Source organism: Homo sapiens, chromosome 3, assembly GCF_000001405.40.
Source record: "Homo sapiens chromosome 3, GRCh38.p14 Primary Assembly".
Taxonomy (NCBI): domain Eukaryota; kingdom Metazoa; phylum Chordata; class Mammalia; order Primates; family Hominidae; genus Homo; species Homo sapiens.
In genome coordinates this window covers 9,779,243-9,807,219 of record NC_000003.12, presented here as the reverse complement: position 1 = coordinate 9,807,219, position 27,977 = coordinate 9,779,243, and the positions used below count along the sequence as shown (strand labels likewise).

Below are 27,977 nucleotides of genomic sequence, written 5' to 3'. Positions count from 1 at the left end.
CAGGACCAATCATGAGACTGCACCCAGTGGGGAGCTCCAGGCACAATTACCAGCCATCTGGTCTCAGGGAAAAGAAGCCCCACCTCCCCTCCTTTCACACACACACACAGCATAGACCTCATGCAGCCCCAAAGGGGCAAAAAGAGACTTTAATTAGGGGAGGGAGGATCCACCAGAATCAGAAAAGGGACAGCTAGCGTGGGAGCAGAGGAGCCAGAACAGGCAGGAGGAGGGCCCGGCCAGGAAGCTCTGGAGGACTCACCTCGCCACCTCTGGCACAGGCACTGGCACTGACGGACAAGGCGAAACAGCGGCCCCTCTCAACTGGGAGGGCACCCAATGGCCCCTGTAGCCAGAGGTTGCCCGGCTTTTGGGCCCCAGGTCCTAGGCATGACTGGTGGTCACCAATTTGGCCCTTGTCCCCAACCAGTGCTGGGGGGCCATCTTTAGGCAGAACTCAGGAAGCTGGCAGAGAGTTCCCAACACTTATACTGGGGCCAAGGAGGCTTGGGAATAAAAGGGCAAGGGAGAAACTGGAGTCTGAAACCTCCCTCCCTCCCCACCTGGGGTGGCATAGGAGAGAAAAAATAAGTCGCCTTCTGGCTCCAGGCCCGCCCAGACCCACAGCAACCAATAACGTATAATCACTGGGACCAGTCACAGCCACTGGAGGTGGAGGTTTAAAAAAAAAAAAAAAAAAAAAGACAAAAAGGTTACAGTATCCTACAAGCACAGAGTTTAAGTTTCAAGACGTTAAAAAAAATCTGTCCCGGCCCAGGGGACTGAACATCAGAAGCCAGCCTGACCAGGCACGTGTGGCCTTGGGGCAGGTCCACTGCTGCTTTCTTGCCCAGCTAGCAAGCACACCACCCACCTCCCGCATCAAATGCCCACCCCAACCCAACTCCCTGCCGCCGCCGCGCTGCTCGGGGAGTGACTCCAGGACGCCTTCGTGGAGACATGGGTAGTCTGAGGGGGAAGGCCACGAGATCCAGCCAGATGGTTTAAAACTGTCAAGAGAACCAAGAGGCAGTGCATGGTGGTTATTATTGCATCCTGGTGGCACTGCTCTAAGGAGGTGCATGAACCTGAGAGCTGCCACTGTGCTCATATCTGTGAGGGGCAGAGTTGGGTCCCAGGACACCTTGTGGTCATGCTCTAATTCAGCCAGCTTTCAGAAGTGACCTATGGGCACCGGCCCTAAGCCTAGCACTAGATAAGGCAGAAAAATTAAGAGCCATGAGAGCTTCTCCACAGCTCCCTTGTGCCCTGGCATGGAGGCTGCTAGAAAGCCCTGCCAGCGTCCTGCCTGGTGAACTGAGGTTGCTTTCTTTAGGCATGGGGGCTCTCATGCAAGGGGCCTGGGGACTCAGAGGGCCAAGTGGAAAAGGACCCAGGTTCTGGTACTTTTGTGTCAAGCTCTGGATGAACCTCCAACCAAGCCAGGCCCTTGAAATGTTTTCTGCCCTCAAGGGTCCCCCATGCTGCCTAGGACAGCCCTGCACATTTTAGAGACCAAAGGTTGTGAACCAATGGCCCATGCCTGAAACTAGCCCAAAGATGAGCACTGCATGGCCCACATGGTGTTTAAAACAATATGAATTAGTTGCCAACCTTGAAAACATGGAAGATGCCATATACAAATCCAAATTTGGGGGTTCAATGGCCTGGAGCTGTGTGGGAGCCAGCCCCTGCACATGAGGCATGCGCTCAGCAGCTCCTCACCCTGCCCACTCCATACTCAGCCCACTCCATAGCTACCCGACCTTTGGATGCACCTGAATTTGTGACCCTTGACAAAGGCTATGGTACTTTCTTAGACCTCTGAGTCCGAAAACCCAGCTCCACATTCTGGTTCCTCCTCTTACTGGCTGAGGGACTTTGGACAGGTGCTTTTACTTCTAAAGCCCCAGTTTATTAATCTCTAACATGGCGATAATAGCTGACTCAAAGACTGTTTTGAGTAATAAATGGGACATGTGAACATACTTTTTTAGGGGTCCAATTCTGTGCGATATAATTATCATAAATAAGTAAATGATTGTTGAGTGAGTGAGCCAAATATTCAATTGGAACAAGAGCTATTTTCCCCTTCCAGTTCAATCTAGAGGCCTCCTAATATCCTGGCCATAAAATTTTGGTGGTGCAATACACGGAAAGCTTACTATGTACCAGGTGCTACGTTTTACACACATGGTCTCATTTAATGCTCAACCACTGAAAGATAAGTATTAATTACCAGACCTTCATTTCACAGCTGAGGAAACTGAGACTTAGTTGAGAGTTCAGTGACATGCCTGAGTAGGCGGTGGAGCCTGGATTCCCACACAGGTGGGTTGCCTCCATAGCCGAGTGAGCTGAACAGCCATGCCGACCTGTGCACCCACCACAGCTACTCTGTACACTGGCCACCCTCAGTATAATTAAATCCCAAGGGAAGCGGGTATAATTTCCATTTTTAGGAATCTGAGCTCCTTCTGGACTGGGTATGTACTTACTGGTGGGAGTACACACTAAGTCTACCGTCTAGAGATCACAGCCACTCTGGGTGGCACATGTCAACAAACCAAAGATTGCTTGGAAAAAGGAGAAAAAAAAAGGCATGTTCTGAATATCTAAACAACTAAGAACGATGTCACCAGTTCATCAATGTAAACAATTCTACCTCTTCAGATGACTAAAGTGCTTTCAATTAGAAAGACATAAACAACGTAAGAGGAATCTGGAGGACTTACGCCATGCAAGTGATGGAAAACAGGTTGAAGGAATCATGATTTAAGCCTGAGAAACATGCTGAAGGAAAGTACTGAAGTCTATTTGAGAAGTGGAATCATAACATGATTAATTGTCCTATACTCCTAGAAAATTCACATGCAGACTTCACTTACCTCACTTGGGGTTTAAACGAGATAGAGGCAAGGACTTTGTGAACATCCTGAGATGTAGAAATGAGTGACCAAGTTCCTACGAGAGACTAAGAGCCACCCCAGACACCCAAATATAGAAAATGCCTTGTAGCTCTCAGAGATGAACTTGGGGTCCTCTAGCTCCAAAGCACCTGACTGACCTGCTGTGCCCCAGGGGTCCTAGAGAGCTCAGGAGATATAAACACACTGCTTGGACCCCTTTCCCACCAGATGCTAAGTTCTCAACATGACCCCCAGATCCTCTGGCCTCTGGAAGGAAAGCTAAAGGCCCCTACTCACATTCTTAAGGAACTCTTCAGCCACAATGCGGGCACGGGCATTGACTGACAGCTTCATCTCACTGATCTCCTTGTCAATCTCCTCCATGAAGTGGATCACAAAGTCCACCAACTTGTGTTTGTACATCTGCTCTGTGTGGAAGTTGGTGATCAGAAAGCTGATATCATACCCCTAGGGAAGAAGACAGTAGGGAGGGGGAAGAGAAGGAACAGGAGAGAATTAGCACCCCATGGGAACTGAGCTGGTCATGTCCTCCACTCATCCACATGCTTCCCACTGGCTGTGATCTTCTCCCAAGCTACATACCCTTCCAGTCAGCAGCCCAGCTGCTCTGGGGGAGGGTGTCTAGGTTGGATCCAAGCAACTGAACCCCGTTGAGAATTCTGTGTGTATCAGACATCTCTGGAAAACTATCTGTGGCACAACAGCTCTGCATTCAGAATGAGTCAAGGAACTTGAAGTCTTGTTACAGAATAATCTAATCAAACAACAGGGAACATTTAGTCCAGAGAAGAGATGATGTGGAAGATGGGTGGGATTAAGGGTCTTTTTCTGCTGGAGGGCTGTGGGAGGAAGATCAATTTTATTTATTCCGGGTGGCCCCAGAGGTTAGATCTAGGACCAGGAGAGAAAATTTGGCTCAGAATGAGGAAGAACTTGGCTAACACGCCTGACGTGTCTGATGATGGCACATGCTGCTGTGTGGTAGTTGCTTAGTCACTGGGGATATTTTAAGTTTACCTGGCAAGGAGTCTGTGGAGAAGATTCAAGTACAAATTCAGGCAACAACTGACCCAATGTTAACTGTGGCTTTAAGAGACTGATTCAGTGGGCCGGGCGCGGTGGCTCACGCCTGTAATCCCAACACTTTGGGAGGCCGAGGTGGGCGGATCACAAGGTCAGGAGATCAAGACCATCCTGGCTAACACAGTGAAACCCCGTCTCTACTAAAAATACAAAAAATTAGCCGGGAATGGTGGCGGGCACCTGTAGTCCCAGCTACTCGGGAGGCTGAGGCAGAAGAATGGCGTGAACCCAGGAGGCGGAGCTTGCAGTGAGCCCAGATTGCAGACTATGATTCACTTTGGGAGGCCGAGGCAGGCGGATCACCTGAGGTCAGGAGTTTGAGACCGCCTAGCCAACACAATGAAACTACTAAAAATACAAAATTAGCTGGGCATGGTAGCACATGCGTGCCTATAATCCCAGCTACTCGGGAGGCTGAGGCAGGAGAATCACTTGACCTGGGAGGTGGAAGGTTGCAGTCAGTGAGACTGCGCCACTGCACTCCAGCCTGGGCAACAAAAGCAAAACTCCATCTCAAAAAAAGAAAAAAAAAGGCCAGGCGCGGTGGCTCAAGCCTGTAATCCCAGCACTTTGGGAGGCCGAGGCAGGCAGATCACGAGGTCAGGAGATCGAGACCATCCTGGCTAACATGGTGAAACCCCGTCTCTACTAAAAATACAAAAAATTAGCCAGGTGTGGTGGTGGGCGCCTGTAGTCCCAGCTACTCAGGAGGCTGAGGCAGGAGAATGGCGTGAACCCGGGAGGCGGAGCTTGCAGTGAGCCAAGATTGTGCCACTGCACTCCAGCCTGGGCGACAGAGCGAGACTCCGTCTCAAAGAAAAAAAAAAAGAGAGAGAGACTATGATTCATTTGGCAGATCTTAGAAAGGATTTCTAATTCACTGTGCTCTTTCTGATGCTAGACTATAGGCTCCGGGAATAAGCAATGTGTCTTATCTTTTTTGCCTTTTTTTTTTTTTTTTTTTTTTTTGAGACGGAGTCTTGCTCTGTCGCCCAGGCTGCAGTACAGTGGCACGATCTTGGCTCACTACAACCTCCGCCTCCCAGGTTCAACCAGTTCTCTGCCTCAGCCTCCTGAGTAGCTAGGATTACAGGCGCCCACCACCATGCCCAGCTAATTTTTGTATTTTTAATAGAGATGGGGTTTCACCATGTTGGCCAGGCTGGTCTTGAACTCCTGACCTCATGATCCACCCACCTCGGCCTCCCAAAGTGTTGGGATTAGAGGCATGAGCCACCACGCCCGGCTCTTTTTTGCCTTTTCTATGGCTGAGGTAGACCCAACTTTTCCTAAGCTTCTAATCCTCTTTGCTCCCACTCCAAGATGAAGGCCAACTCTCAATTCAGGCAGTGGGTGCCAAACAGCTGGAGTAGCTGGTTCTAGAAACAATCCCAGGCCATTCTGTAACAGGGTCCTGGGTATCGCAAACTCATGGGTCACAGGGTCTCACCTCCACAGGCTTCCTTCGAAGGATAAAGAAGTTCTCTGCTCGCATCATCATGAAGCGCATGAACTTGTGGCACAAAATCTTCTCGATCTCATCAGCCTGGGGAGTGCAAGAGAGAAATGTTTCTCTAAAGCTGACACCCAAGGCCAAAAACACCTTGTAGCCTGGTCTTCTGACTCCAGTTTTTTCAAGGCTCCCAGGAGACAGTGAGGTTTGGTACTCGGAAGGATCACTGAAGTGGGGGACCTGGCTGTCAACTGAAACAAGGGTCTACCTTGGGGCATCTCTTAATGACGACCCATTCCAGAGAGGTAATTCTGACAGGCTTCTATTGCTTCTTTCAGAGTCTACAGCTGTACTCCAAGCTGCCCTTTCCATTCTCATTTCACTAGTGTCACATTTCCCAGGGTGTTTTGCAGCATCACCTGGGCTATCAGAGATAACCTTAGGTGGTCTCTGCTTTAATAACACTGAACATCCAACAATCCCTGAAGTTTCTCCCTTCTGAATGCTCAACATTTCTTTTTTTTTTTTTTTTTTTTTTTTTCTGAGATGGAATCTCGCTCTGTCACCCAGGCTGGAGTGCAGTGGTACGATTTTGACTCACTGTAAGCTCTGCCTCCCGGGTTCAAGCGATTCTCCTGCCTCAGCCTCCCAAGTAGCTGGGATTACAGGCGCGTGCCACCACGCCTGGCTAATTTCTGTATTTTTAGTAGAGACAGGGTTTTACCATGTTGGCCAGGCTGGTCTTGAACTCCTGACATCAAGTGATCCACCCGCCTTGGTCTCCCAAAGTGCTGGGATTACAGGCATGAGCCACTGTGCCTGGCCCTGAACTCTCAACATTTCTAAAGGAAGATTATTGCTGCTGGTTGCTAGCATGCCCTTAACACCTCTCAACACTTGTTAACCTCCCATTTTAGCAAGGAAAGCAGGCCCCAGGTTTATAAGTTTCTGTAGAAAACAGTGTGTAGTCTGCATTTAATAACAGTGCTTCGTTTTCATCCTGTTGAAAGTTTAGAGTTGCCCTCTACTGGCCAGGCATGGTGGCTCATGACTGTAATCCCAGTACTTTGGGAGGTTGAGGCGGGCCCATCACCTGCGGTCAGGAGATGGAGACCATCCTGGCAAACATGGTGAAACTCTGTCTCTACTAAAAATACAAAAATTAACTGGGCGTGGTGGCGGATGCCTGTAATCCCAGCTACTTGGGAGACTGAGACAGAAGAACTGCTTGAACCCGGGAGGCAGAGGTTGCAGTGAGCTGAGATCATGCTGCTGCACTCCAGCCTGGGCGACAAGAGTGAGAATCCGTGTCAAAAAAAAAGGAAGCAGAGGCTAGGTTTCCTGCACTCTGAATCTGGAATCTGGCACACTGATCTCTCAGATGGGGACCCCGGACTGAAAGAGGCTGAAAGGACTGAAAGAGGCCTTACGTTGGGCCTCCTCCATGGTGAACTTACCTGTTTCACAGCAATGCTGACCCGGACAGAGTTGATGGAGCCCTCAATCAGAACCTTTTCCTTCTCATTCCTGCTGATGGTCACAGGTTGTAACAGGAGCTCTTTGCTACTCCTGAAAACATAATGTGACAGAGTACTTGTACTACAGAGGGATAGAATAGTCAGAGTGACCCCACGCAGGTCCTGGAATCACTATGAGACCATAGAGTCCAAGGAATAGAAGACTCACAAGCAGGAGTGCTCCAAGATGGGGGCCAGTGAGTGTGTTCTTCAGCAGAAAGAGCACAGGCTCTGAAGTCAGGGCGAAAAGGTTTTGAAATCCAGCCTCCTCTGTTACTTTCCTTGGGCAAGTTACCCTGTTGGAATCTCAATTTTCTCATCTGTAAAATGACTCTGATTCCTAATTCACTGGCGAGGACTGAGAGAGATCAAAAAGGGTCAAATGTCTAATAGCGTGCCTGGCACATAGTAGGAGCTTTACAAAAGATAGCTATTTTAGTAACTACAAGTTGAACATCCCCAATCTGCAAATCTGAAATCCAAAATCTGAAACTGGCTGGGCACAGTGGCTCATGCCTGTAATCCCAGCACTTTGAGAGGCTGAGGCTGGTGGATCACCTGAGGTCAGGAGTTCGAGACCAGCCTGGCCAACATGGTGATATCCCATTTGTACTAAAAATATAAAAATTAGCTGGGCATGGTGGCGCACTCCTATAATCCCAGATACTCAGGAGGCTGAAGCACGAGAATTGCTCGAACTCAGGAGGTGGCAGTTGCAGTGAGCCAAGATCATACCACTGTACTCCAGCCTGGGTGACAGAATCAAACTCCATCTCAAAAAAAAAAAAAAACCTGAAAGTTTCCGAGTGCTGACAAGATGCTCAAAGGAGATCCTCATTGGAGCATTTTGGATTTGGAATTAGGGATGCTCAACTGGTTAAGTATCTGCAAATATTCCACAATCTGAAATACTTTTGGTCCCAAGCATTTTGGATAAGAGATACTCAACCTGTACAGGCAAACCAATATACCATTTAGGAATACAGAGAGAACACCTGTCTTAGAGGTAAGGAAAGGCTAAAATTGAACACAGTTTGGCTTCCTTTAATTATCAATCCAGAAATGATTCATTTGCCTCTGAGACCCCTATGAGTTCAGGTTACAAAGTAATGCCTCTGAATACCTAGAGATCTCTAATAGTAATTAATTGTGGTGTGGTGTCTCTAAACTGCTAACCATTTTCAAAGGCCCACTGGAAATCGTGTACGTTACACAGTATAACAGGGCATATCCTAACATCTTTATCAGTTATTTTTAAAATTAAAAATTAAATCGTATCATTTAATGTTGTAACCCAGATTATCTCAGTTATGTATGTACCAGAATGAATTTTATTTTATTTTATTTTATTTTATTTTATTTTTGAGACGAAGTCTTGCTCTGCTGCCAGGCTGGAGTGCGGTGGCACGATCTTGGCTCACTGCAACCTCCGCCTCCCAGGTTCAAGCAATTCTCCTGCCTCAGCCTCCCGAGTAGCTGGGACTACAGGTGCATACCACCATGCCCAGCTTATTTTTGTATTTTTAGTAGAGACAAGGTTTCACCATGTTGGCCAGGATGCTCTCGATCTCTTGACCTCATAATCTGTCTGCCTCGGCCTCCCAAAGTGCTGGGATTACAGGCGTGAGCCACTGTGCCCGGCCTATTTACTTATTTTTTGAGACAGGGTCTCACCCAGGCTGGAGTGCACTGTCGCAATGTTGGCTCATTGCAACCTCTGCTTCCCAGGCTCAAGAGATCCTCCTGCCTCAGCCTCCAGAGAAGTGGGACTACAGGCATGTGCCACCATGCCTGACTATTTTTGCATATTTTTTTGGTAGAGATGGAGTCTTGCCATGTTGCCCAGGCTGGTCTTGAACTCCTGTACTCAAGCGATCTACCCACTTCAGCCTCCTAAAGTGCTCGGATTACAGGGGTGAACCACTGCACCAGGCCTCCAGATTAAATTTTAAAGGGGAAAAAGATATTTATGAAATGGAAACTAGATAAGAGAAAATCATTCAAAATATGAAGTATTTGGATTAGGGGGTCAGAGTGTCTAGGCTGGTAGGTAAAAAAAAAATCCCTGATCATTACATTAGAAAAGTATGGAGATGGGAAAAAAAAAAAAAAAAAAGAAAAGTATGGAGATGGAATCTCAGATAACAATTATCTGACCATTCCTTAAACTACCAGTGTTTTCAACAATGCCACAGGAGAGACTTCATCAACAGCCCTGCTCTGAGAAGTCATACCTTGTGTTAACCAATCTTGTCTTTTCCCCTGGGTTCTGTCCTGCCAACCCACTGACCCTATTTTCTTAACTCCAAATTGGGAATCACCATTCAGCTGGCAGCAAGACAAAATGTCAACTGCAGCTTTCCTGACTACTGCAGGACATAAGTTCATGGCACCTTCTAGACAGCAGCCATCTCTGTGTGCTGCACCCCTCATCCCCACCTTGACTTGTCCTTCCCTACCTGACTTCCACTTCCGGCTTGTTGTGTCGTTCCACAACCTGGGAGGAGAAGTTCTCCAGGCAGAGGGCAGCCTGCAATGTGGCCCGCACGGCACTCAGGTAGGGGCGGAGAGTGGCAGTCTATAGGAAATAACACAGAGGAAAGGGAAGATCAAAATCTGTCACGCCAAACCCACCGATCCCCTATTCCAGCTCCCATGAAGCCAGGTAGCACTGAGGGTGCAAGGCTCTTAAGACACTACTGTGAACAGAACAGACTAGGCCTTCGAGACGCCTTCCAAGGTGTAGAGTGGTAGTTTTCAACAGGAGACAATTTTGCCTGCCAGGGTACATTTGGTAATGTCGAGACATTTCCTTTCTTTCTTTTTTAACCTGGGGTCAGACCAGAGGAATGCTGAGACATTTTCAATTGTCATGACTTGGCAAGAAGGGGAACTGCAGGCATTCAGTGGACAGATATCCACTAAACATACTACAATGCACTACAAAGAATTATCGAGACTCAAATATCAATAGTGCTAAGGTTGAGAAAGTGATCTAGAGACACACCAGTGAATGCATGATTGTCGTCAATCTATTAGGCCAACAAATGTATAGGTGTACTGTTTGCCACGCACTGAGCTAACTGGGAATTCAAAGATGATTAACACTGTCTCTACCCTCAAACAGCTCAACTGGATAGCAAATATACAGAAAATAACTATGATATAAAGATGACATGTGAAATATTTAGATTTACAAGTAATCTATATTTGCAGAAGAAACTGGTTTTGAAGGTGAAATGGGATTAGGAGGAGAAAAAGGAGAATAAGGACATTCTTTTTTTTTTTTTTTTTTTGAGACAGAGTCTCGCTCTGTTGCCCAGGCTGGAGCGCGGTGGCACGATCTCGGCTCACTGCAAGCTCCACCTCCCGGGTTCATGCCCTTCTCCTGCCTCAGCCTCCCAAGTAGCTGGGACTACAGGCGCCCACCACCACACCCGGCTAACTTTTTGTATTTTTAGTAGAGACAGGGTTTCACGGTGTTAGCCAGGATGGTCTCAATCTCCTGACCTTGTAATCTGCCCGCCTTGGCCTCCCAAAGTGCTGGGTTTACAGGCGTGAGCCACCACACCCTGCCAGAATAAGGACATTCTTAGGAGAGGGATTAGCTTCTAGCTGCACTGGTCAGTCCTTGTATCAGCCAAATTCTTTCCCACCTCAGAGCTTTACACATGCTTGACCATCTATCTGTAGGCTTTTCTCCTCTTTCTTTGCCTAAGTCATCCTCCAGATCTCAGCTTAATTAAGGAAGGCCTCTTGAGAGAGACCTTGACATCCCCCTATAAAGTATTTATTACAATTGACAAAAAAATGTCTTTCATGTCTTCTTAATATTTATTTTTGAGAGGGAGTCTCGCTTCTGTCACCCTCGCTGGAGTGCAGTGGCACGATCTCTGCTCACGGCAATCGCCGCCTCCTGGGTTAAAGCGATTCTCCTGCTTCAGCCTCCCGAGTAGCTGGGATTACAGGCGCACATCACCATGCCTGGCTAATTTTTGTATTTTTAGTAGAGACGGAGTTTCACCGTGTTGGTCAGGCTTGTCTTGAAATCCTGACCTCAGGCAATCCGCCCACCTCGGCCTCTCAAAGTGTTGGGATTACAGGCGTGAGCCAACGTGCCTGGCCTTTTTTATTTTTTTTTGAGACAGAGTCTTACTCTGTTGTCCAGGCTGGAGCGCAGTGGTGCAATCTTGGCTCACTGCAACCTCCACCTCCCGGGTTCAAGTGATTCACCTGCCTCAGCCATGCGAATAGCTGAGATGACAAGTGTGCACCACCGTGCCTGGTTAATTTTTGTATTTTTAGTAGAGATGGGGTTTCGCCATGTTGGCCAGGCTGGTCTCAAACTCCTGACCTCAAGTGACCCGCCCATCTCGGCCTCCTAAAGTGCTGGGATTACAGACATGAACCACTGCACCTGCCCTCCTTCATGCCTTTGTAAGTGATTTCTCCTTTACTAGGCTGTAAACCTCATGGTCAACAGACCATATCTATTTTATTCACAGCTATATAGCCTCCAACCTAGCTCAGTACCTAACATATACAGTGTCTCACTCATTTCCTGTAGAATAAATAAGCGAAAGAAATAATTAAGATTAGAGTAACACAAAAGGACAGCAAGAGTTCCAGAGTAGTAATGAGTACAATGTTTCTGTATATGAGAAGCATTTTAGATTCACTAAATGAGGCTGCAGCGGTAGGCTGAGGTAAGATCATGGGGAATCTTGAATGCCAGGCTACCAAGTTTAGCTTTTCTCTTAAGGGGGTAAGGAACTACTGGGGCTTTCTGAGGAGGAAGTTCATGACTGCAGCTGCATGATGGCTCTGTGGAGAATGATTTGGAGAGGGAAGTGAGACATACAGCAGACTGTATCACAAGCAAAGAGTATCACAAGCGTTGGACTGACATTAGATGGAGTGGATAATGGAACTGAAAAAAAACTTCCCAGGGGCTCACGCCTGTAATCCCGGCACTTTGGGAGGCCGAGGTGGGTGGACCACCTCAGGTCAGGAGTTCAAGACCAGCCTGGCCAACATGGCAAAACCCCGTCTCTACTAAAAATACAAAAAATTAGCTGTGGCGGGTGCCTGTAATCTCAGCTACTTGAGAGGCTGAGGCAGTAGAATTGCTTGAACCCAGGAGACTGAGGTTGCAGTGAGCCGAGATCACGCCACTGTGCTCCAGCCTGGGTGACAGAGCGAGACTGTGTCTTAAAAAAAAAGAAAAAGAAAAACCACTTCCAACGAACTGTGGTCCAGCCATTCAATTAACTACTACTTGGTAATAAAAAAAGAGTAACTATTGATACACACAACATGGTTGACTCTCAAATGTATTATGGTAAGAAGCCACACTTAAAAGCCTGCATACTAAAGAATTCCATTTACATGACAATCTGAAAAAGGCAAAACTACAGGGGGGAAAAATCAGTAGTTGTCTGGGGTGGGAAGGAGAGGACTGATTACAAAAGGGCTTGAGGGAACTTTTTGGGGTGACGGAAATGTTCTGTATTTTGGTTGCAGTAGTGGTTACACAACTTGACTTTTTTTTTTTAAGACACGGGATCTTGCTATATTGTCCAGGCTGAAGTGCAGTGGCTATTCACAGGAGTGATCACAGTGTACTACGGCCTCGAACTTCTGGGCTCAAGTGATCCTCCTGCCTCAGTGTCCTGAGCGGATGGTACTACAGGCGCATGCCACCATACCCAGCAAGTTTTTGCAACGCTTTTTTTTTTGAGACGGAGTCTTACTCTGTTGCCCAGTCTGGTGTGCAGTGGCACGATCTCGACTCACTGCAAGCTCTGCTTTCTGGGTTCACGCCATTCTCCTGCCTCAGCCTCCTGAGTAGCTGGGACTACAGGTGCCCACCACCACGCCCGGCTAATTTTTTGCATTTTTAGTAGAGAAGAGGTTTCACCGTGTTAGCCAGGATGGTCTCGATCTCCTGACGTCGTGATCCGCCCGCCTCTGCCTCCCAAAGTGCTGGGATTACAAGCGTGAGCCACCACGCCTGGCCTTTGTCAACAGTTATAGAAAGTAAACCTAAAAAGGGTGACTGGCTCCGTGACGCCTGTCCTTTCATGAATAAAACAGATGTAGTCTCATGTAATACCTCAATAAACTTGAACTTTTAAAAATCAAGAGGCATGTGCCCCACTAGAAAAAAAAAATACAGATTTTTAGCAGAGACATGAGGTCACAAAAGTTTGCCAGGATAGGGAACCCAGGAGGAAGAACAAATTTAGAATAGAATATGAGTTTTGAACTAGAGGTCTAATTTCAAGGTCTCTTCAAGATATCCAGGCAAACCTTGAAAGAGAGCTGAGAAGCCAGATTAGGAGTCATCAGAATGAAGAAAGTTATCGAAGCCAGGAGACTAGATCGGTATCACCAGGGAAGGTGTGACGAAGAGGGAGATGGTCATCCAAAGTCACAACTCCCAGGAATGCCCACACGTATGAAAAAGGCCCACATGTATGAAAAAGGCCCACATGTATGAAAAAGGGAGGACTTCCAGGAAGGGAGGGATGAGCAGTATCACAGCTAACATACACTAAGGCTGACACAGTTCAGTTCTGACCAGGAAGGGCCTGAATGGAAGCAACACGAGAGATCCTCCAATGGGGTGGAAGCAGGGCTGGAGGTACCAAGAATGGGATAAGGAAGTGTGGCCGCCTGCCTTAAGCAACTGTAGGGTCAGGAAGGCAGAAGAGGACAAAGGGCGTATGTCGTGAAGTTCCACTGTGGATAGGCAGGTGGACTTGCTTCATGCCTCAGAGGCTAAGAGGCCGACTACGTACCCTCGAAATGCTCCAAAGAGCCTAGGAGACCCCACTTCCGGGTTCCTACAGGGCTCAGGAAAAGCCCCTACCTGCTTCGAAGGCTGACCGTGAAGCCACAAGGCCCACTTCATACCAGGGAGTACCCCCACTCGCCCCTTCCTCACCTCGGGCCCCCGCCCCGTCTCTTTTTCCCACCCTCATCGTGTCCCCACAACCCCCGGACATCCCTCGGCCCCGCGCCCCTGCGGCAAAGCCACATCTCCCACCGACCCACTGCCCTGAGGCCGAACAGCCGGGGGTCCCTGGCCGGGGGCCCGGCTCTCTCACCATCGCGGGCGCTGGCTGGGCCGGAAAGCGGAAGTACGGAAGTGGCCAGCCCCGCGATGCCTGCCCTTTCGCGAGAAGCGCAGCTACGGTCTCCGCCCGGACTTCCGGACGGTACCATCTATGCTCCGAGCGGGGTAGAGAGCCCTTACGAACGCTTGGGCCTTCCGGAAGTTTTCCACCTAGGGCTGTCTCGGTATTTTTAAATTCTTGCACTCGAGTCACTATTTAAGCTCCTCCAGGAATGGGTGCAGCTTCCCTTTGTGCCTTCGGCCTTCTTGTCACCTTTGCCACAGCCTCCCCCAGGTATGCAATGGTACAGCCCAGCTTCAGATTGGGCACCAAATTAGGACAAGCCGAAGCGGACGAGCCCTTCGTTTCTTCCGGTTCTGTACCCCCATCCTTTCTCTCGCCCCTCCTACCCGCAGCTCCTGGCGCTCGGCGGGGCTAACTGCAGCGCGGAGATCTCGGCCGCCAAGCTCCGCCTCCCGCCCCGGGCTGTGCCCCGGGGCTCGCCTGAGGCCGACCACCCGCACCCCACCTCTAGCGGCTTTGCTCGAGGCCCACCTTCTTCCCACCCCCGGCAAACTCCAGTAGGCTCGCCCTCGCTGACTCCCCGCCCCCGCGTCAACTGCAAGGGGCCCGCCCATAGCCAGTTCCGGGGCGGTTGCTCACATCGACCGGAACTCCCCGCCCCCTCCCGCGGCCCCTGGGGCCGTAGGAGGCCGCAGCGAGGAGGTAGAGGGGGCGGGGGTCGCACTAGGGTGTCCCTAGAGAACGAGGACTCTGAAGGCGGGACATTTGGGCGACCCCCGGGCGGGGCCAGCCATTAAACAGTCCCACTTCTGTGCCAGACACTGAACTGGGCTCTTGACGGGCATCATCTCTTAATCCTCAGAACATCCCAGGGAGGTAGGTACTATTGTTATCCCCATTTTTCAGATTCAGACTTTTAATGGGGAAACAGACCGAGACTTCTTTTGTCCCCATTTTACAGATGGAAAAACTGAGACTGAAAAAGGTCAAATAACATGTTCAGGGGCATATAAGTAGAGAATGGTAAAGCCTGGGCTTGAACCCAGGTCTGTCTGGCTTACCAGCCCACGTTCTAAACCACTGTTAGTGACTAGAGAAGGGAGAAAGGTGGAATAGGGTAAGAAAAGAGGCCAAGAGTCCCAGAGAACATGGTAAGAATGGGGTGCTTGGAACTCAAAGTCTTAGCAGAACCCAAGAGAAATAGAAGGGAAGGAAAGAGCATCAGAAAGGCGAGGCAAGGCATAGCAGTATAGCATGGTGATCAGGGTGCAGACTCAAGACTAGCGGGGTTCAAATTGCATCTTGGAAGCATAGGCACATACCCACCCTTACAGAGTCTCAGTTTCTTTCTCTGTAAAAACGAGATCACAATGGTCCTTGTTCATGGTGCTGAGTGAGAAATTCAGTGAGATAAACTGATAAAGTGCTCTGCACCTAGCTTGGTACCCAGTTAAGTGCCCTGTGAGTAGGAACTGTGCCATCAATTTTGTCAGTAAGGGACTGAAGCTGGGCTTCCTTGAGGCTGTCCCTGGAGGTAAGAAGCCCTTGGGCTTTTCTCAGACCACTTTGTCTCCCATCAATGGCCCTGTCCTCTCCAGCTCCACAGGATCCCCATATCCTGGGCCATGAGTGAGTTGAAAGACTGCCCCTTGCAGTTCCACGACTTCAAGTCTGTGGATCACCTGAAGGTCTGTCCCCGCTACACGGCAGTGCTGGCACGCTCTGAGGATGATGGCATCGGCATCGAGGAGCTGGACACCCTGCAGCTGGAGCTGGAGACCCTGCTGTCTTCTGCCAGCCGGCGCCTGCGTGTGCTTGAGGCCGAAACCCAGGTGATAACCCCAGAGAGGGGCCAGCACCAGAGATGGACTGCAACAAGTTATGGGATGGGTCATTGAGTTAGCCCCATATGCTGAGACTTGGGGTACAGGGGTTTGTGGGGAGAGGGAGAGAGACGCAAACTGGGTTTGCATGACACAAAAAATACACAAGAATATGCATGATCCTCTTAAATTGCAAGATTTCTAATTCAGTAAGCTTTTATTGGCACCCCACTCATCCCCCATTGTGTTCTGGGTCCTATGCTAGTCATTAGAGAAAGGTAATTAGGACAGTTATGGCTGTCAGGGAGCTTGGCAACTAGGAAAGTGAGAAAGTCAAGTACATACCAGGTGATGTGATGTTGTGGTTAGCAGTCCTAGGGAACTGGAATGGGGAAACCTGGATTTGAATCCTGGCATAAGCGCTTGCTAGCATTGCTGTTTCCTAGCTATGTGACTTTGAGAAAGTTGCCTCATATCTCTGAGTGTCAGTTTCCCTATCTGCAAAGTGGGGTGAATAATAGGACCTACCTTAGTGCTTTTGTGAGGATTAAAAGAGAATTTTTTGCAAAAACTCAGCCCAATGCCAGACACTAAGTAAGTACTTCAGATGTTATTTATTTGCTACTCTGATGACTTTATTCACTGCATAAAGATGCCTTGAGCCTTGTGTGCCAGGCGCTATGCTGTATTCTGCAAAATAGAGATGGTTAAGGTGGGCTTTCTGGTCCTCAGTAGCTTATGGTCTAGTTGAAGAGACAAGGTGTGATGGTCATTCCAGTGTGACCAAACAACACGATTGGGTGCACGTTGGAGCTGTGAAGTGCCAGAGACTTGTGGAGGAAGGAGGTGCCAACTGGACCTAAAAGGATGAATGGAATTAACTTGTCCCTGGGAATCCATGGACCCTCCTTGAGGAAGGCTATGACTCAAGTTGTATTTTAGCATCTAAGAACCTGGGTAACTGATTGAGAGAAGGCATCTCAGTAGTGGTGACATCGAAGTGAAGGTTTGCTGAGAGGACTCTTCTGTTAAACAGTATGTGACTGGCATGGGTGATACAGAAGTGAATCAGTATAGATGAACAAGTGAATGAGATTATGAGAAGTATATGAATAAAGTTCTAGGAGGCCAGGCACAGAAAATGAGCTGAATTTTGAAGGATGAGTAAGAGTTTACTAGGTAAAAAGAGGATGGGGAAAGACCCAGGAGCCTCTGTAGATTCTAGATCCTAATTTATTCACTAGAGGAAAGAGATATTCTGTGTTTTCCCTTCTCCCCCTCAGTGACACTTTCTGTAAATTTCAGATCCTCACCGACTGGCAGGATAAGAAAGGTGACAGACGATTCCTGAAGCTGGGTCGAGACCATGAACTTGGAGCTCCCCCCAAACATGGGAAGCCCAAGAAGCAGAAACTGGAAGGGAAGGCAGGACATGGGCCGGGCCCTGGCCCAGGACGGCCCAAATCCAAAAACCTTCAGCCCAAGATCCAGGAATATGAATTCACTGATGACCCTATCGACGTGCCACGGATCCCCAAAAATGATGCCCCCAACAGGTTCTGGGCTAGAGAACATAGAAGGGGGCCTCAAGGTTCTGGTGGTGGAGGCACTGGTGGGGCAGGGGCGCCCACTCAGGATCTGCTTCTCCCTGCAGGTTCTGGGCTTCAGTGGAGCCCTACTGTGCTGACATCACCAGCGAGGAGGTCCGCACACTTGAGGAGTTACTGAAGCCCCCAGAAGATGAGGCTGAGCATTACAAGGTAGAAACTCTGGGCCTTGATAGACATGATGCGGAACAAGAGAGTTCAGAGGTGCCTGAGAAGTAAAGCTACCAAAGCCATGCATCATCTTCCTTCCCCAACCCTGCCCAGTCTGCTGTCTGCTCCATCAGTGCCTCCAGACACCTAGGCCCAAACTCAGCTTTCTCCGTGCACTGCCTCCCCTCTACCCCAGCCAAATGTCAACACGCCCTCAAGCATCTACTTAAGTGAAGTCTGCCCATGTTCCTTTATCCCCATCCCCTCTGCTTTGGTCCAAGCCTTCATCAACTTCTATCCAAACAGCCTCTTAACTCTCTTCCTGTTTCGAGGCCTCTGGAGGAACCTTTCTTCTTTCTTTAAGATATAAAACTTGGGCTGGGAGCAGTGGCTTATGCCTGCAATCCTAGCACTTTGGGAGGCCGGGGCGGGCAGATTGCTTGAGCTCAGGAATTTGAGACCAGCCTGGGCAACATGGTGAAACCCCATCTCTACCAAAATACAAAAAATTAGCCAGGCATGGCGGTGTGCGCCTGTAGTCCCAGCTACTCGGGAGGCTGAGTCAGGAGGATCTCTTGGACCCGGGAGGTGGAAGTTGCAGTGAGCCGAGATCACGCCACTGCACTCCAGCCTGGGCAACAGAGCAAGACTCCGTCTCCAAAAAAAAAAAAAAGATATAAAAGTCACCTCACGCCTGTAATCCCAACACTTTGGGAGGCTGTGGCAGGCAGATCATCTGAGGTCAGGAGTTCAAGACCAGCCTGACCAACATGGTGAAACGCCGTCTCTACTAAAAATACAAAAATTAGCCTGGCACGGTGGCATGCACCTGTAATCCTGGCTACTCGGGAGGCTGAGCCAGGAAAATCACCTGAACTGGGGAGGCATCGGTTGCAATGAGCCAAGATCGTGCCACTGTATTCCAGCCTGGGTGACAGAAGGAGATTCCATCCATTAAAAAAAAAAAAGCCGGGTGCGGTGGCTCAAGCCTGTAATCCCAGCCCTTTGGGAGGCCGAGGCGGGCAGATCACAAGGTCAGGAGATTGAGACCATCCTGGCTAACACGGTGAAACCCCGTCTCTACTAAAAATAGAAAAAATTAGCCGGGCGTGGTGGCGGGCGCCTGTAGTCCCAGCTGCTCGGGAGGCTAAGGCAGGAGAATGGCGTGAACCCGGGAGGCGGAGCTTGCAGTGAGCTGAGATTGTGCCACTGCACTCCAGCCTGGGTGACAGAGCAAGACTCTGTCTCAAAAAAAAAAGAAGATATAAAACTATGTTTTAATGATGAAAATAAATAAAACATGCTCCATTAAAGAAAATTTAGAAAATACAGAAAAATGTTGAGGGAGAATCCTCCCATAGGTGAGCTGTCATGATCAGATGTGCTCATGACATGGCGCTGCATCCAGGCCTTTCTTCCTCCCGTTATCTACAGGATCAAGTCCACGCATCCCAGTCCTTGCTGGCACAGCTCCAGTGCCCCTCTCCATTTTCCTCGGCCATATCCCTCTTCATTGCCGTGTTGACCAGTCCCACCAAGTATCTCGCCCTCATTCCAGGACACCACAGCCTCCTCGCTGGTCTCTGGGCCTCTGGCAAGCTCTTCTCTCCCTCTTGTCTCCTTGACAGACTTGACTCACCCTTCAAGGCCCTGATCTCATGTTACCTCCACCAAAGCACTCTTTCAGATTCCCCAGCAGAAAGTTAGTCAGTCTCTCCTTTGTGCTGCCACAACACTTTGATCTCTCTCTTTCACTTCACTTATCTGATTTCTTAAAAATTTATCTGAAAAAGAGTTCATACAGACAGCAGTAAATTCAAGCAATACAAAAGGTAATTCCCTGTCACCCGTGACCTGAAGGCTCCTAATTCTCTCGAGAGGCAATTGCTGTGACCTGAGACAATCTGTGTACGTATTCTGCACCTTCTATCTTGGGAATTATTTCAGATTGGCTTCTGTGTGTGTGTCTTAGTTCTTTTTGGACCTGTCTCCCTTACTAGAGTGTGAAGTACAGGTTTTATCTTCGTTGTACTTTCTTACCTACACCTGACACTGGGCTTGGCCTTGGACTAGGGACTTGAGAGAGATATAAGATAGGTAAGTGAATGAATGAATGAAGCATGGCTGGCCAGTGCTTACCCACTCAGGGTTGGGTGCCATCTTTTCCACAGATCCCACCCCTGGGGAAGCACTACTCCCAGCGCTGGGCCCAGGAGGACCTGCTGGAGGAGCAGAAGGATGGGGCCCGGGCAGCGGCTGTGGCTGACAAGAAGAAAGGCCTCATGGGGCCACTGACCGAACTGGACACTAAAGGTAGGCCTCTCACCTCCCTGCCAACCCCAGGTCAGGACTTGAATTCCAGAACTTCAGCCCACCTCCCCTCCTTTCCTGTGCCCGCTTAGATGTGGATGCCCTGCTGAAGAAGTCTGAGGCCCAGCATGAACAGCCGGAAGATGGATGCCCCTTTGGTGCCCTGACGCAGCGCCTCCTGCAGGCCCTGGTGGAGGTGAGCAGCCTAACCCAAAAGAGGAACCATATTTACTTTGTGTTTTAATGTGTTATGCTTATTTTTTATCGGAATTTATCATACATTTATTAGGTTGGTGCAAAAATAGGTTGGTGCAAAAGTAAAAACCTGGACTAATATATAGCAAAAGATTGGGAATAATATATAACTTGTGCACCTAATAGAAAAGTGCACAGATCATAAATGTACAGTTTTCACAAATGAGCTTGTATTACCAGCCTGGAGATTACAAAATGAAACATTACTATATCCTAGAAGCCCCTCTCATGCCCCTGTTTTTCTCCAACTTTCCCCAAAGGTAGCCTTACTCCACAATTACTTTTGCTAAGCATCTGTTGGAGGGGCTTTATACACATCCTCCCACTGGAGGCCAGGACAGTGGTTAACGCTGTGTTACAGATAAGAAGATTGAGGCTCAGAAAAGGGAACTGTTCACTTGAGGTCTCACACACCAGGATTCAAACCCTAGCTTCAGGGGCCCTGTCTTTATACCTGCTGGTTGACCTTAGACACACCCTCACACTCTTTCACCTCATTGAGACTCAGTTTTCTATTCTGGCTCAAACACAAGAGTTTATCTCATGGAACAGTCTGGGTACATGTTGCAGGTTATCTAAGGTAGGGGAAGGGGCAGGTCTCTATCTCATATCATCAGACAGGGACCCCAGCTGACGGTGGCCTTGCAGTCTGCACAAGGTCACTCTGGGCGTAATTGTCACTCCAGTCCCACAGAATAAGAGCAAGGAGGCCGGGCGCGGTGGCTCACGCCTGTAATCCCAGCACTTTGGGAGGCTGAGGCGGGCGGATCACAAGGTCAGGAGATCGAGACCATCCTGGCTAACATGATGAAACCCCGTCTCTACTAAAAATACAAAAAAATTAGCCGGGCATAGTGGCAGGCGCCTGTAGTCCCAACTACTTGGGAGGCTGAGGCAGGAGAATGGCATGAACCCAGGAGGCGGAGCTTGCAGTAAGCCGAAATTGTGCCACTGCACTCCACAGCCTGGGTGACAAAGTGAGACTCCATCTCAAAAAAAAAAAACAAAACAAAACAAGGAGGAGTGTGTGAAGGAAACTTTTTGGCCCATGCCTAGCTATGGCTCTTATCTCTTCTGATCACTTTCCCCTGGAGAGAACTTGTCACATGACCATACCCGCCTGCAAGAGAGCCTGGGAAGTACAACTGGACAGGCATTGCCTAGCTGCCGTGGAGGAAAGAAGAGTATGGCATTCGGACAGCTAGCATCTCCGCCACAGCAGGCCTAGCACACTGCCTGGTGCGTTGCAGACGCTTCACAAACCTTAGCTGTTCATTACCATCATTGAGTGTTAATCATTTCTCTTCTGTGTTCCTTTTTCTTCACATCAGTACGAAAATAAAAGGGATTTCTAGAATGATCAAAGCAATTTGGGATTGGTATGGGAAGGCTTCCCACGGTAGGTGGGATGGGAAAGATAAAAGGATATTTCTGGTGTTTGAAGACTGTCAGTGTAGGTCAGAAAGGAGCAGGAAAGTGGAACAGCTATTTTTCCTTCCACTCATTTTTGTGGTCTTCTAGGAAAATATTATTTCCCCTATGGAGGATTCTCCTATTCCTGACATGTCTGGGAAAGAATCAGGGGCTGACGGGGCAAGCACCTCCCCTCGCAATCAGAACAAGCCCTTCAGGTGAGTGGTGTCCTATCCACAACCCACAGTCTGGCCCCCGCTTCTGTTGGCTTCTCTCCATCTCAACCTGGGGAAGTCCTCATCAGTAAGAGGCTGGGGGCAGTTAGGTGAAGCCTAATAGCAGTCTCAAGTGTGAGTGATGACCCAGCGTGTCTGCATGCACAGACTGAGTGCAGGGTTGTTCAGCACAGAACTGTTCATACCATAAATAACCCAAATGTCCTGCTGAAGGGGAATGGTTGGCTAAATTGGCATAACTCCATATGATGAAATAACTTGGGGCTATTAATCATATAGCTGCAAGTATAGAGAAATATAGTTAAATGACATGAAAAGATGTAAATTATAGAGTGACAAGTGGAGAAAATATTAGTTGTAGCCCAGTATGGATGGTATAATACTATTTTTACTTAAAATATATTTCTTTTTTTCTTTTTCTTTTTTTTTTTTTGAGATGGAGTCTCGCTCTTGTCGTTTAGGTTGGAGCGCAATGGCGCAATCTTGGCTCACTGCAACCTCCGCCTCCCAGGTTCAAGCGATTCTCCTGCCTCAGCCACCAAGTAGCTGTGATTACAGGCGCCTGCCACCATGTATGGCTCATTTTTGTATTTTTAGTAGAGACGGGGTTTCACCATCTTGGCCGGGCTGGTCTTGAACTCCTGACCTCAGGTGATCCTCCCACCTCGGCCTTCCAAAGTGCTGGGATTACAGGTGTGAGCCACCATGCCTGGCTTACTTACAATATATTTAAATATGTGCACATAAGGGAAAAAACCTGGACTAATATGTAGCAAAAGATTAGGAATAATATATAACAAAATCTGGAATATATATAATAATATATAACAAAATAATAGTAATTCTCTCTGGGTTGTTGGCATTATGGGTTTTTCCATATTTTTTGAATAGTAGATACATACGTTGCTTGTTTTAAAAACCAGACCAGATGTGTCTGTCCCTCCCTTTGTATCTGGATAGATACAGAGGGGGTGCCCAAAGGGAAAGGCAGGTTTTCACTGACCTTGGGAAGCCCTGGGAACCTCCAAGGTGGGCCCTTCTCCAAGCTGGCTCTTGAGTCTGACGGGCCTGCCTCCCGCTGCAGTGTGCCGCATACTAAGTCCCTGGAGAGCCGCATCAAGGAGGAGCTAATTGCCCAGGGCCTTTTGGAGTCTGAGGACCGCCCCGCAGAGGACTCCGAGGATGAGGTCCTTGCTGAGCTTCGCAAACGGCAGGCTGAGCTGAAGGCACTTAGTGCCCACAACCGCACCAAGAAGCACGACCTGCTGAGGTGAGCGTTAGCAGGATGCACAGTCCCGGGGGTGGCCTTGGAGGCTGTGGCCACGGCTAGTCACCTTTCAGGGGTTTTACAACAGGCTTTCCAATCCTGGCTGGCCTCTAAATCACCTGGAGAGCCTCGAAAAAAACAGCAGTGGCCAGTCCACCGGGTATGTCCCAAACAAATTCTGATTCCACAGAGTGGGGCTCAGGCATCTGTGACTGACCGATTGATTTGATTTGTTTTTGTTTTGTTTTTTTTTGAGAGGGAGTCTCGCACTGTCACCCAGGCTGGAGTGCAGTGGCATGATCTCGGCTCACTGCAAGCTCCGCCTCCCAGGTTCATGCCATTCTCCTGCCTCAGCCTCCTGAGTAGCTGATACTACAGGCACCCACCACCACGCCCAGCTAATTTTTTTGTATTTTTAGTAGAGACGGGGTTTCACCGTGTTAGCCAGGATGGTCTCGATCTCCTGACCTCGTGATCCACCCGCCTCGGCCTCCCAAAGTGCCGGGATTACAGGCGTGAGCCACTGCGCCTGGCCTAGTTTGGTTTTTTAATTATGGTAAAGGCATAATATAAAATGTATCTCCATGGGAGGCTGAGGCAGGAGAATCAGTTGAACCTGGGAGGCGGAGGTTGCAGTGAGCTGAGACTGCACCATTGCATTCCAGCCTGGGCAACAAGAGTGAAACTGCATCTCAAAAAAAAAAAGAAAAAAAATTTACGCTTCTTAACCATTTTTAAGTGTACAGTTTAGTAGTGTTACCCATATTCACATTGTTGTGTGATTTATTTTTTGTCTTTTCATGCTTCTTTTCTTTTTATCCCCAAAGTTTTGTTATTAAAAATTTGATACACACAGAAAATCTGAAAGAATCATACAATAAACATCAGTATATTCTCCACCTAGACTAATTAACTGTTAACATTTTGTTGGAGATCTGTGATTTTTATTTGCTCATCACAAGAAATTGACCAGTGTTTTAGGACATGTTCTTTTGGGAATCCATCACAGTGCCTGCCATTCATTTGATGTCAACTCCCATCCATCTTGTTCTGCATTGATCACGAGGGTATAGGTGACATCTTGAGGAAGACTGTGGAATAGCTACCCTTTAGGTAAAGAGATAGGGAAGCAACCCGAACAAGTCTCTTTGCTTCTCACAGACAAGTGCTGTGTCTTAACTTCATAGAGCCCTGACAGGACAGGGCACATTCATTCATTTGGCCTTTTTTTTTTTTTTTTGAGACGGTGTCTCACTCTGTTGCCCAGGCTGGAGTGCAGTGCCATGATCTCGGCTCACTGCAACCTCCGCCTCCCGGGTTCAGGCAGTTCTCCTGCCTCAGCCTCCTGAGTAGTTGGGATTACAGGCATGCACTACCATGCCAGGCTAATCATTTGGCCATTCTTACTGTCTCTTAGATATTGTGCTGGGGGCCAGCAAGAGAGGCAGAGCAAGGGACTTGCAGATTACTAGCAGATGATCAGTAAAGATAAGTGCCATTAAAAGGAGAGGTAGTTGCTGACAAGCTGCCAGGGTATTTAAGGATAAGAGTGACTAATGTATGCTGAGGGCCTACTGTGTGTCAGGGGCTTTATGTACACTCTCTCAAGTGTCTTGACAACAACCCAGGAGGGAGGAGCTATTTTCGTTGTTTACCAGATGAGGAAATAAAGGCCCAGTGAAGCGAAATGCTCTGCTGAAGGTCACACAGTCAATAAACAGCAAGCTGAGACTTGAACCTGTGGTTGAATCAAAGCCTCTTTCTATAATAGTTTGTTTTCTCTGAAAGGTGAGAAGAAGAAAACACAGATGGAAGAGGCACTGAGGGAAGCAGAGGGAGAGAGAGGAAGAGAGAGAAAAGCAGGCATGTGCAGTTACAGAAGTAGTGGGCCCTAGCTGGGCCTGGTGGCTCATGCCTGTAATCCCAGCACTTTGGGAGACTGAGGTGGGAGGCTTGTTTGAGCTCAGGAGTTCGAAACTAGCCTGGGCAATGTAGTCAGACCCCCTTCTCTACTAAAAATTTTTAAAAATCAGCTAGGCATGGTGGCACATGCCTATAGTCCTACTCAGGAGGCTGATGTGGGAGGATTGCTTGATCCTGGGAGGTAGAGGCTGCAGTGAGCTTGATCAGGCCACTGTACTCCAGCCTGGGTGACAGAGTGAGACCTGTCTCAAAAAAAAAAAAAAAAAAAAAAAAAGAAGTAATGGGCAATGAAGAAATGGCTTGCAGCTCTCAGGAAACCAGAGCACAGCCCTTACCCTGCTGCAGAGCAGCTGCAAGGCCTTAAGCAGCCCCTGACCTGAGCATCTCCTTCCCCTTCTGGAAAACTGGCAGGCTGGACTCAATCACTAAGTGACCTTCCAGCTCCACCATCGATGAAATGTATAAATCAGACCCTGTTCAGAGAGATTGATCTGGTGTCTCACCCACCTCCTGTCAGCCTCAGGCTGCCTAGACCTTAGGGGGCTCTGGAATGCAGATGCCGACGTAAGCAGGCCTTCTGCTGGCACCGGAACACCTGAAACAACAGTGTTTAAAAACAAGAGTTTGGCCCCAGCCTGCTCCAGATCTCCCCCTCACTAACTGTGGGATCCTGGGATCATCTTTGAGCCTCATTTTCCTCACGGGTAACATATGAATAATAGTACATATTTTGCAGGGTTGTTAGGATTAACTGAAAGACAGAGAGAGAGAGTGGGTGTGCCTGTGTGTGTGTGTTTGTGTGTGTGTATGTATATATATATATATTTTAGAGACAGGGTCTTACTCTGTTGCCGAGGTTGGTCTCAACTCCTGGCTTCAAGTGATCTTCCTGCCTCCATCTCCCAAAGCGCTGGGATTACAGGCATGAGCTACTTTGCCCAGCCTACTGTGTATATTTTTAAGACCTTTTTTTTTTTGAAGACACAGTCACGCTCTGTTGCCCAGACTGGAGTGTAGTGGCATGATCATAGTTCACTGTAACCTTGAACTCCTGGCCTCAAGCAATCCTCAGCTCCCTTGGAGTTGGGACTACAGGTGTGCACTACCACACCCAGCTAATTTTTTAAATTTTTTGTAGAGACAGTCTCACTATGTTGCTCAGACTGGTCTCGAACTCCTGGGCTCAAGTGATCCTTCTGCCTTGGGCTCCCAAAGTGCTGGGACTGCAGATGTGAACCCCCATGTGCAGCCAAGACTTTATTCTTCTAGAGCAGTTTTAAGTTCACAACAAAATTGAGAGAAAGGTACAGAGAATTCCCGTATCTCCCTGTCCCCACATGTGCACAGCCTCCCCCGTGATCAACATGAGTTAATATTTTTCAGGAGCTTAAGATAGTGCCATGTAAGTGTAGGTCAGTAACTGCTTTTTGGTCACGACTGTATGACACAATCCACAGGCATGCCAGCCTGGGCTGGTGGGTAGGCTCGGTCTTGAAGAGGGAGGGGTTGTTCTCTGGAGGTGGGCTGACCCTGGCACCTGGCTGGCTGGTCCCCACAGGCTGGCAAAGGAGGAGGTGAGCCGGCAGGAGCTGAGGCAGCGGGTGCGCATGGCTGACAACGAGGTCATGGACGCCTTTCGCAAGATCATGGCTGCCCGGCAGAAGAAGCGGACTCCCACCAAGAAAGAAAAGGACCAGGCCTGGAAGACTCTGAAGGAGCGTGAGAGCATCCTGAAGCTGCTGGATGGGTAGCCCTCACCCCTGCCTCAGGCTGATTATCTGGCCTAGGGGAGGGGAAGGGAGGCCCACTTCCTTCTTTGGGCACAGGAAACATTGGCCTGTGGCTGTCCCTCAAATGGCGGCAGTCTCTAGAGGGCCGTGGCCCTTCCCCTGAGGTCTTTTGGCCTAGCTCTGTACAACCAGGACACAGGAAGCCCTGCTGGGCTAGCCTGAGGCCTAGTCTCTGCTTGGTCCCCGAGATGGGGTTGGAGGGGACTTCGTTTCTGGGTCTTCCTCTTCCCCTCTTTACCATCCCCCACTCCCTAATCCCCTACCCCTGTCTCCCCTTCAAGGACTTCTCCCTTGTGGTTTTGTAAAGTGCAAACTTAAGAATAAAGTGACTGCTGTGGTTTTTCAAAAAAAGCATCCAGTCTTTGAATGTCTGTTACAGTGGGGAGGAAGGAACCAGTGTGGGTGGTAAGGTTTGTGGGGGGTATGCTTGGTGGCTCTCAGCCCATGGCCACTAACCCATGGCATTCAGTCAGGGAGAACTTTCTGAGTACCTCTTTCTGAGGATACTTGTGGCTGCACGTAACAATGCCCCCCCAGCTCAAAGTGGATTCACAGTAAGGAAATGTGTTGGCTGCAGGATGGGCAGTCCTGGGACAGAGTGGCCTTCACGGTTAGCCAATCTAGCAATTCTTCAGGGTCATCAAGGGTCCAGGTTTCTTTTTTTTTTAATTTAAGTTCTAGGGTACATGTGTACAACGTGCAGGTTTGTTACATATGTATACATGTGCCATGTTGGTGTGCTGCACCCATTAACTCGTCATTTACATTAGGTATATCTCCTAATGCTTTCCCTCCCCCCTCCCCCAAGGGTCCAGGTTTCTTAGGGGTCACCACACTGCCCTCCACAGTGTCGACCTCTGCCTAAGGTGAGTCCTTCTCTGGCTGTAGTGTGGCAGTGGAGCAGTTGGGGCCAGATGCTTCCTCATTTACATCCAGCACAGGAGGGAGCCGGAGCCAGCGGGCTTCCATGGCCCATCTACAGAAGCAAGAAGCCTTTTCCCAGATACCATCATGTTTCAGTGGCCCAAACTCAGTCTCACATGCCCATTCCTCAGTCACTGTGGCAAAGGAGACT

At 48.8% G+C, this 27,977-nt stretch overlaps 4 protein-coding genes across 18 annotated transcripts in view, besides 9 other annotated features; 1 reads left to right on the top strand and 3 right to left on the bottom strand.

The window, feature by feature from the left end:
- ARPC4-TTLL3 (ARPC4-TTLL3 readthrough) overlaps positions 1–14,672 on the bottom strand; it is a 43,809-nt gene extending 29,137 nt beyond the window's left edge. Inside the window, exons 1-4 of the mRNA NM_001198793.1 lie at positions 14,096–14,672; positions 9,443–9,561; positions 6,924–7,035; positions 5,464–5,559 (exon numbers count right to left, since the gene is read on the bottom strand). Of these exons, the coding sequence (NP_001185722.1) occupies positions 5,464–5,559; positions 6,924–7,035; positions 9,443–9,561; positions 14,096–14,098 (330 nt within the window). The 5' untranslated portion in view covers positions 14,099–14,672. The remainder of the gene's footprint in view (positions 1–5,463; positions 5,560–6,923; positions 7,036–9,442; positions 9,562–14,095) is intronic.
- ARPC4 (actin related protein 2/3 complex subunit 4) lies at positions 119–14,702 on the bottom strand. Of its 4 annotated transcripts, none has more exons than NM_001024959.3 (6): positions 14,515–14,702; positions 9,443–9,561; positions 6,924–7,035; positions 5,464–5,559; positions 3,207–3,377; positions 119–1,010 (listed from the first exon to the last, which is right to left on the bottom strand). In NM_001024959.3, exons 4-6 carry the CDS (start codon positions 5,521–5,523, stop codon positions 1,005–1,007), a joined length of 237 nt encoding a protein of 78 aa, NP_001020130.1. In that variant the 5' UTR covers positions 5,524–5,559; positions 6,924–7,035; positions 9,443–9,561; positions 14,515–14,702; the 3' UTR covers positions 119–1,004. The 4 variants fall into 4 exon arrangements, with proteins under 4 accessions (NP_001020130.1, NP_001020131.1, NP_001185709.1 ...); NM_001024960.3 differs by having other exon boundaries at positions 14,660–14,702; NM_001198780.3 differs by lacking the exon at positions 14,515–14,702 and adding an exon at positions 14,039–14,138.
- Positions 13,473–13,562: an enhancer, noted in NCBI's record as "active region_19409". NCBI's record gives its function as "activates an Ori minimal core promoter by ATAC-STARR-seq in GM12878 lymphoblastoid cells {active_cell/tissue: GM12878}" and the evidence as "EXISTENCE:reporter gene assay evidence [ECO:0000049][PMID:35858748]".
- Positions 13,762–14,288: an enhancer, noted in NCBI's record as "NANOG-H3K27ac-H3K4me1 hESC enhancer chr3:9834616-9835142 (GRCh37/hg19 assembly coordinates)". NCBI's record gives its function as "activates a minimal SCP1, AML or CMV promoter by ChIP-STARR-seq in primed H9 embryonic stem cells {active_cell/tissue: H9 hESC(primed)}" and the evidence as "EXISTENCE:reporter gene assay evidence [ECO:0000049][PMID:30033119]".
- On the top strand, positions 14,209–27,253 carry TADA3 (transcriptional adaptor 3). 4 transcript variants are annotated; one of them, NM_001278270.2, is made up of 9 exons: positions 14,209–14,398; positions 15,727–15,960; positions 17,257–17,507; positions 17,606–17,711; positions 19,880–20,021; positions 20,111–20,214; positions 21,795–21,904; positions 23,007–23,192; positions 26,671–27,253. In NM_001278270.2, exons 2-9 carry the CDS (start codon positions 15,754–15,756, stop codon positions 26,861–26,863), a joined length of 1,299 nt encoding a protein of 432 aa, NP_001265199.1. In that variant the 5' UTR covers positions 14,209–14,398; positions 15,727–15,753; the 3' UTR covers positions 26,864–27,253. The 4 variants fall into 4 exon arrangements, 3 of the variants coding, with proteins under 3 accessions (NP_001265199.1, NP_006345.1, NP_597814.1); NM_006354.5 differs by lacking the exon at positions 14,209–14,398 and adding an exon at positions 14,747–15,004; NM_133480.4 differs by lacking the exons at positions 14,209–14,398; positions 26,671–27,253 and adding an exon at positions 14,747–15,004 and having other exon boundaries at positions 23,007–24,094.
- Positions 14,263–14,362: an enhancer, noted in NCBI's record as "active region_19408". NCBI's record gives its function as "activates an Ori minimal core promoter by ATAC-STARR-seq in GM12878 lymphoblastoid cells {active_cell/tissue: GM12878}" and the evidence as "EXISTENCE:reporter gene assay evidence [ECO:0000049][PMID:35858748]".
- Positions 14,263–14,815: a biological region, named in NCBI's record as "NANOG-H3K27ac-H3K4me1 hESC enhancer GRCh37_chr3:9834089-9834615".
- Positions 14,289–14,815: an enhancer, noted in NCBI's record as "NANOG-H3K27ac-H3K4me1 hESC enhancer chr3:9834089-9834615 (GRCh37/hg19 assembly coordinates)". NCBI's record gives its function as "activates a minimal SCP1, AML or CMV promoter by ChIP-STARR-seq in primed H9 embryonic stem cells {active_cell/tissue: H9 hESC(primed)}" and the evidence as "EXISTENCE:reporter gene assay evidence [ECO:0000049][PMID:30033119]".
- Positions 14,493–14,782: a silencer, noted in NCBI's record as "silent region_14043". NCBI's record gives its function as "represses an Ori minimal core promoter by ATAC-STARR-seq in GM12878 lymphoblastoid cells {active_cell/tissue: GM12878}" and the evidence as "EXISTENCE:reporter gene assay evidence [ECO:0000049][PMID:35858748]".
- Positions 14,843–14,932: a silencer, noted in NCBI's record as "silent region_14042". NCBI's record gives its function as "represses an Ori minimal core promoter by ATAC-STARR-seq in GM12878 lymphoblastoid cells {active_cell/tissue: GM12878}" and the evidence as "EXISTENCE:reporter gene assay evidence [ECO:0000049][PMID:35858748]".
- Positions 15,920–16,420: an enhancer, noted in NCBI's record as "H3K4me1 hESC enhancer chr3:9832484-9832984 (GRCh37/hg19 assembly coordinates)". NCBI's record gives its function as "activates a minimal SCP1, AML or CMV promoter by ChIP-STARR-seq in naive H9 embryonic stem cells {active_cell/tissue: H9 hESC(naive)}" and the evidence as "EXISTENCE:reporter gene assay evidence [ECO:0000049][PMID:30033119]".
- Positions 16,150–27,977, bottom strand: part of OGG1 (8-oxoguanine DNA glycosylase) — a 41,119-nt gene continuing 29,291 nt past the window's right edge. For 3 of the 9 annotated variants that reach the window (NM_001434448.1, XM_017006497.3, NM_001434450.1), the window contains 2 exons: positions 25,620–25,707; positions 24,112–24,239 (listed from right to left, as the gene is read on the bottom strand). In NM_001434448.1, coding sequence (NP_001421377.1) covers positions 25,648–25,707 — 60 coding nt within the window. In that variant the 3' untranslated portion in view covers positions 24,112–24,239; positions 25,620–25,647. Of the gene's footprint in view, positions 19,493–24,111; positions 25,708–27,977 lie in introns of those variants that run through there. The other 6 variants (XM_047448201.1, NM_001434447.1, NM_001434449.1 and 3 more) reach the window with 3 other exon arrangements.
- Positions 24,258–24,307: a silencer, noted in NCBI's record as "silent region_14041". NCBI's record gives its function as "represses an Ori minimal core promoter by ATAC-STARR-seq in GM12878 lymphoblastoid cells {active_cell/tissue: GM12878}" and the evidence as "EXISTENCE:reporter gene assay evidence [ECO:0000049][PMID:35858748]".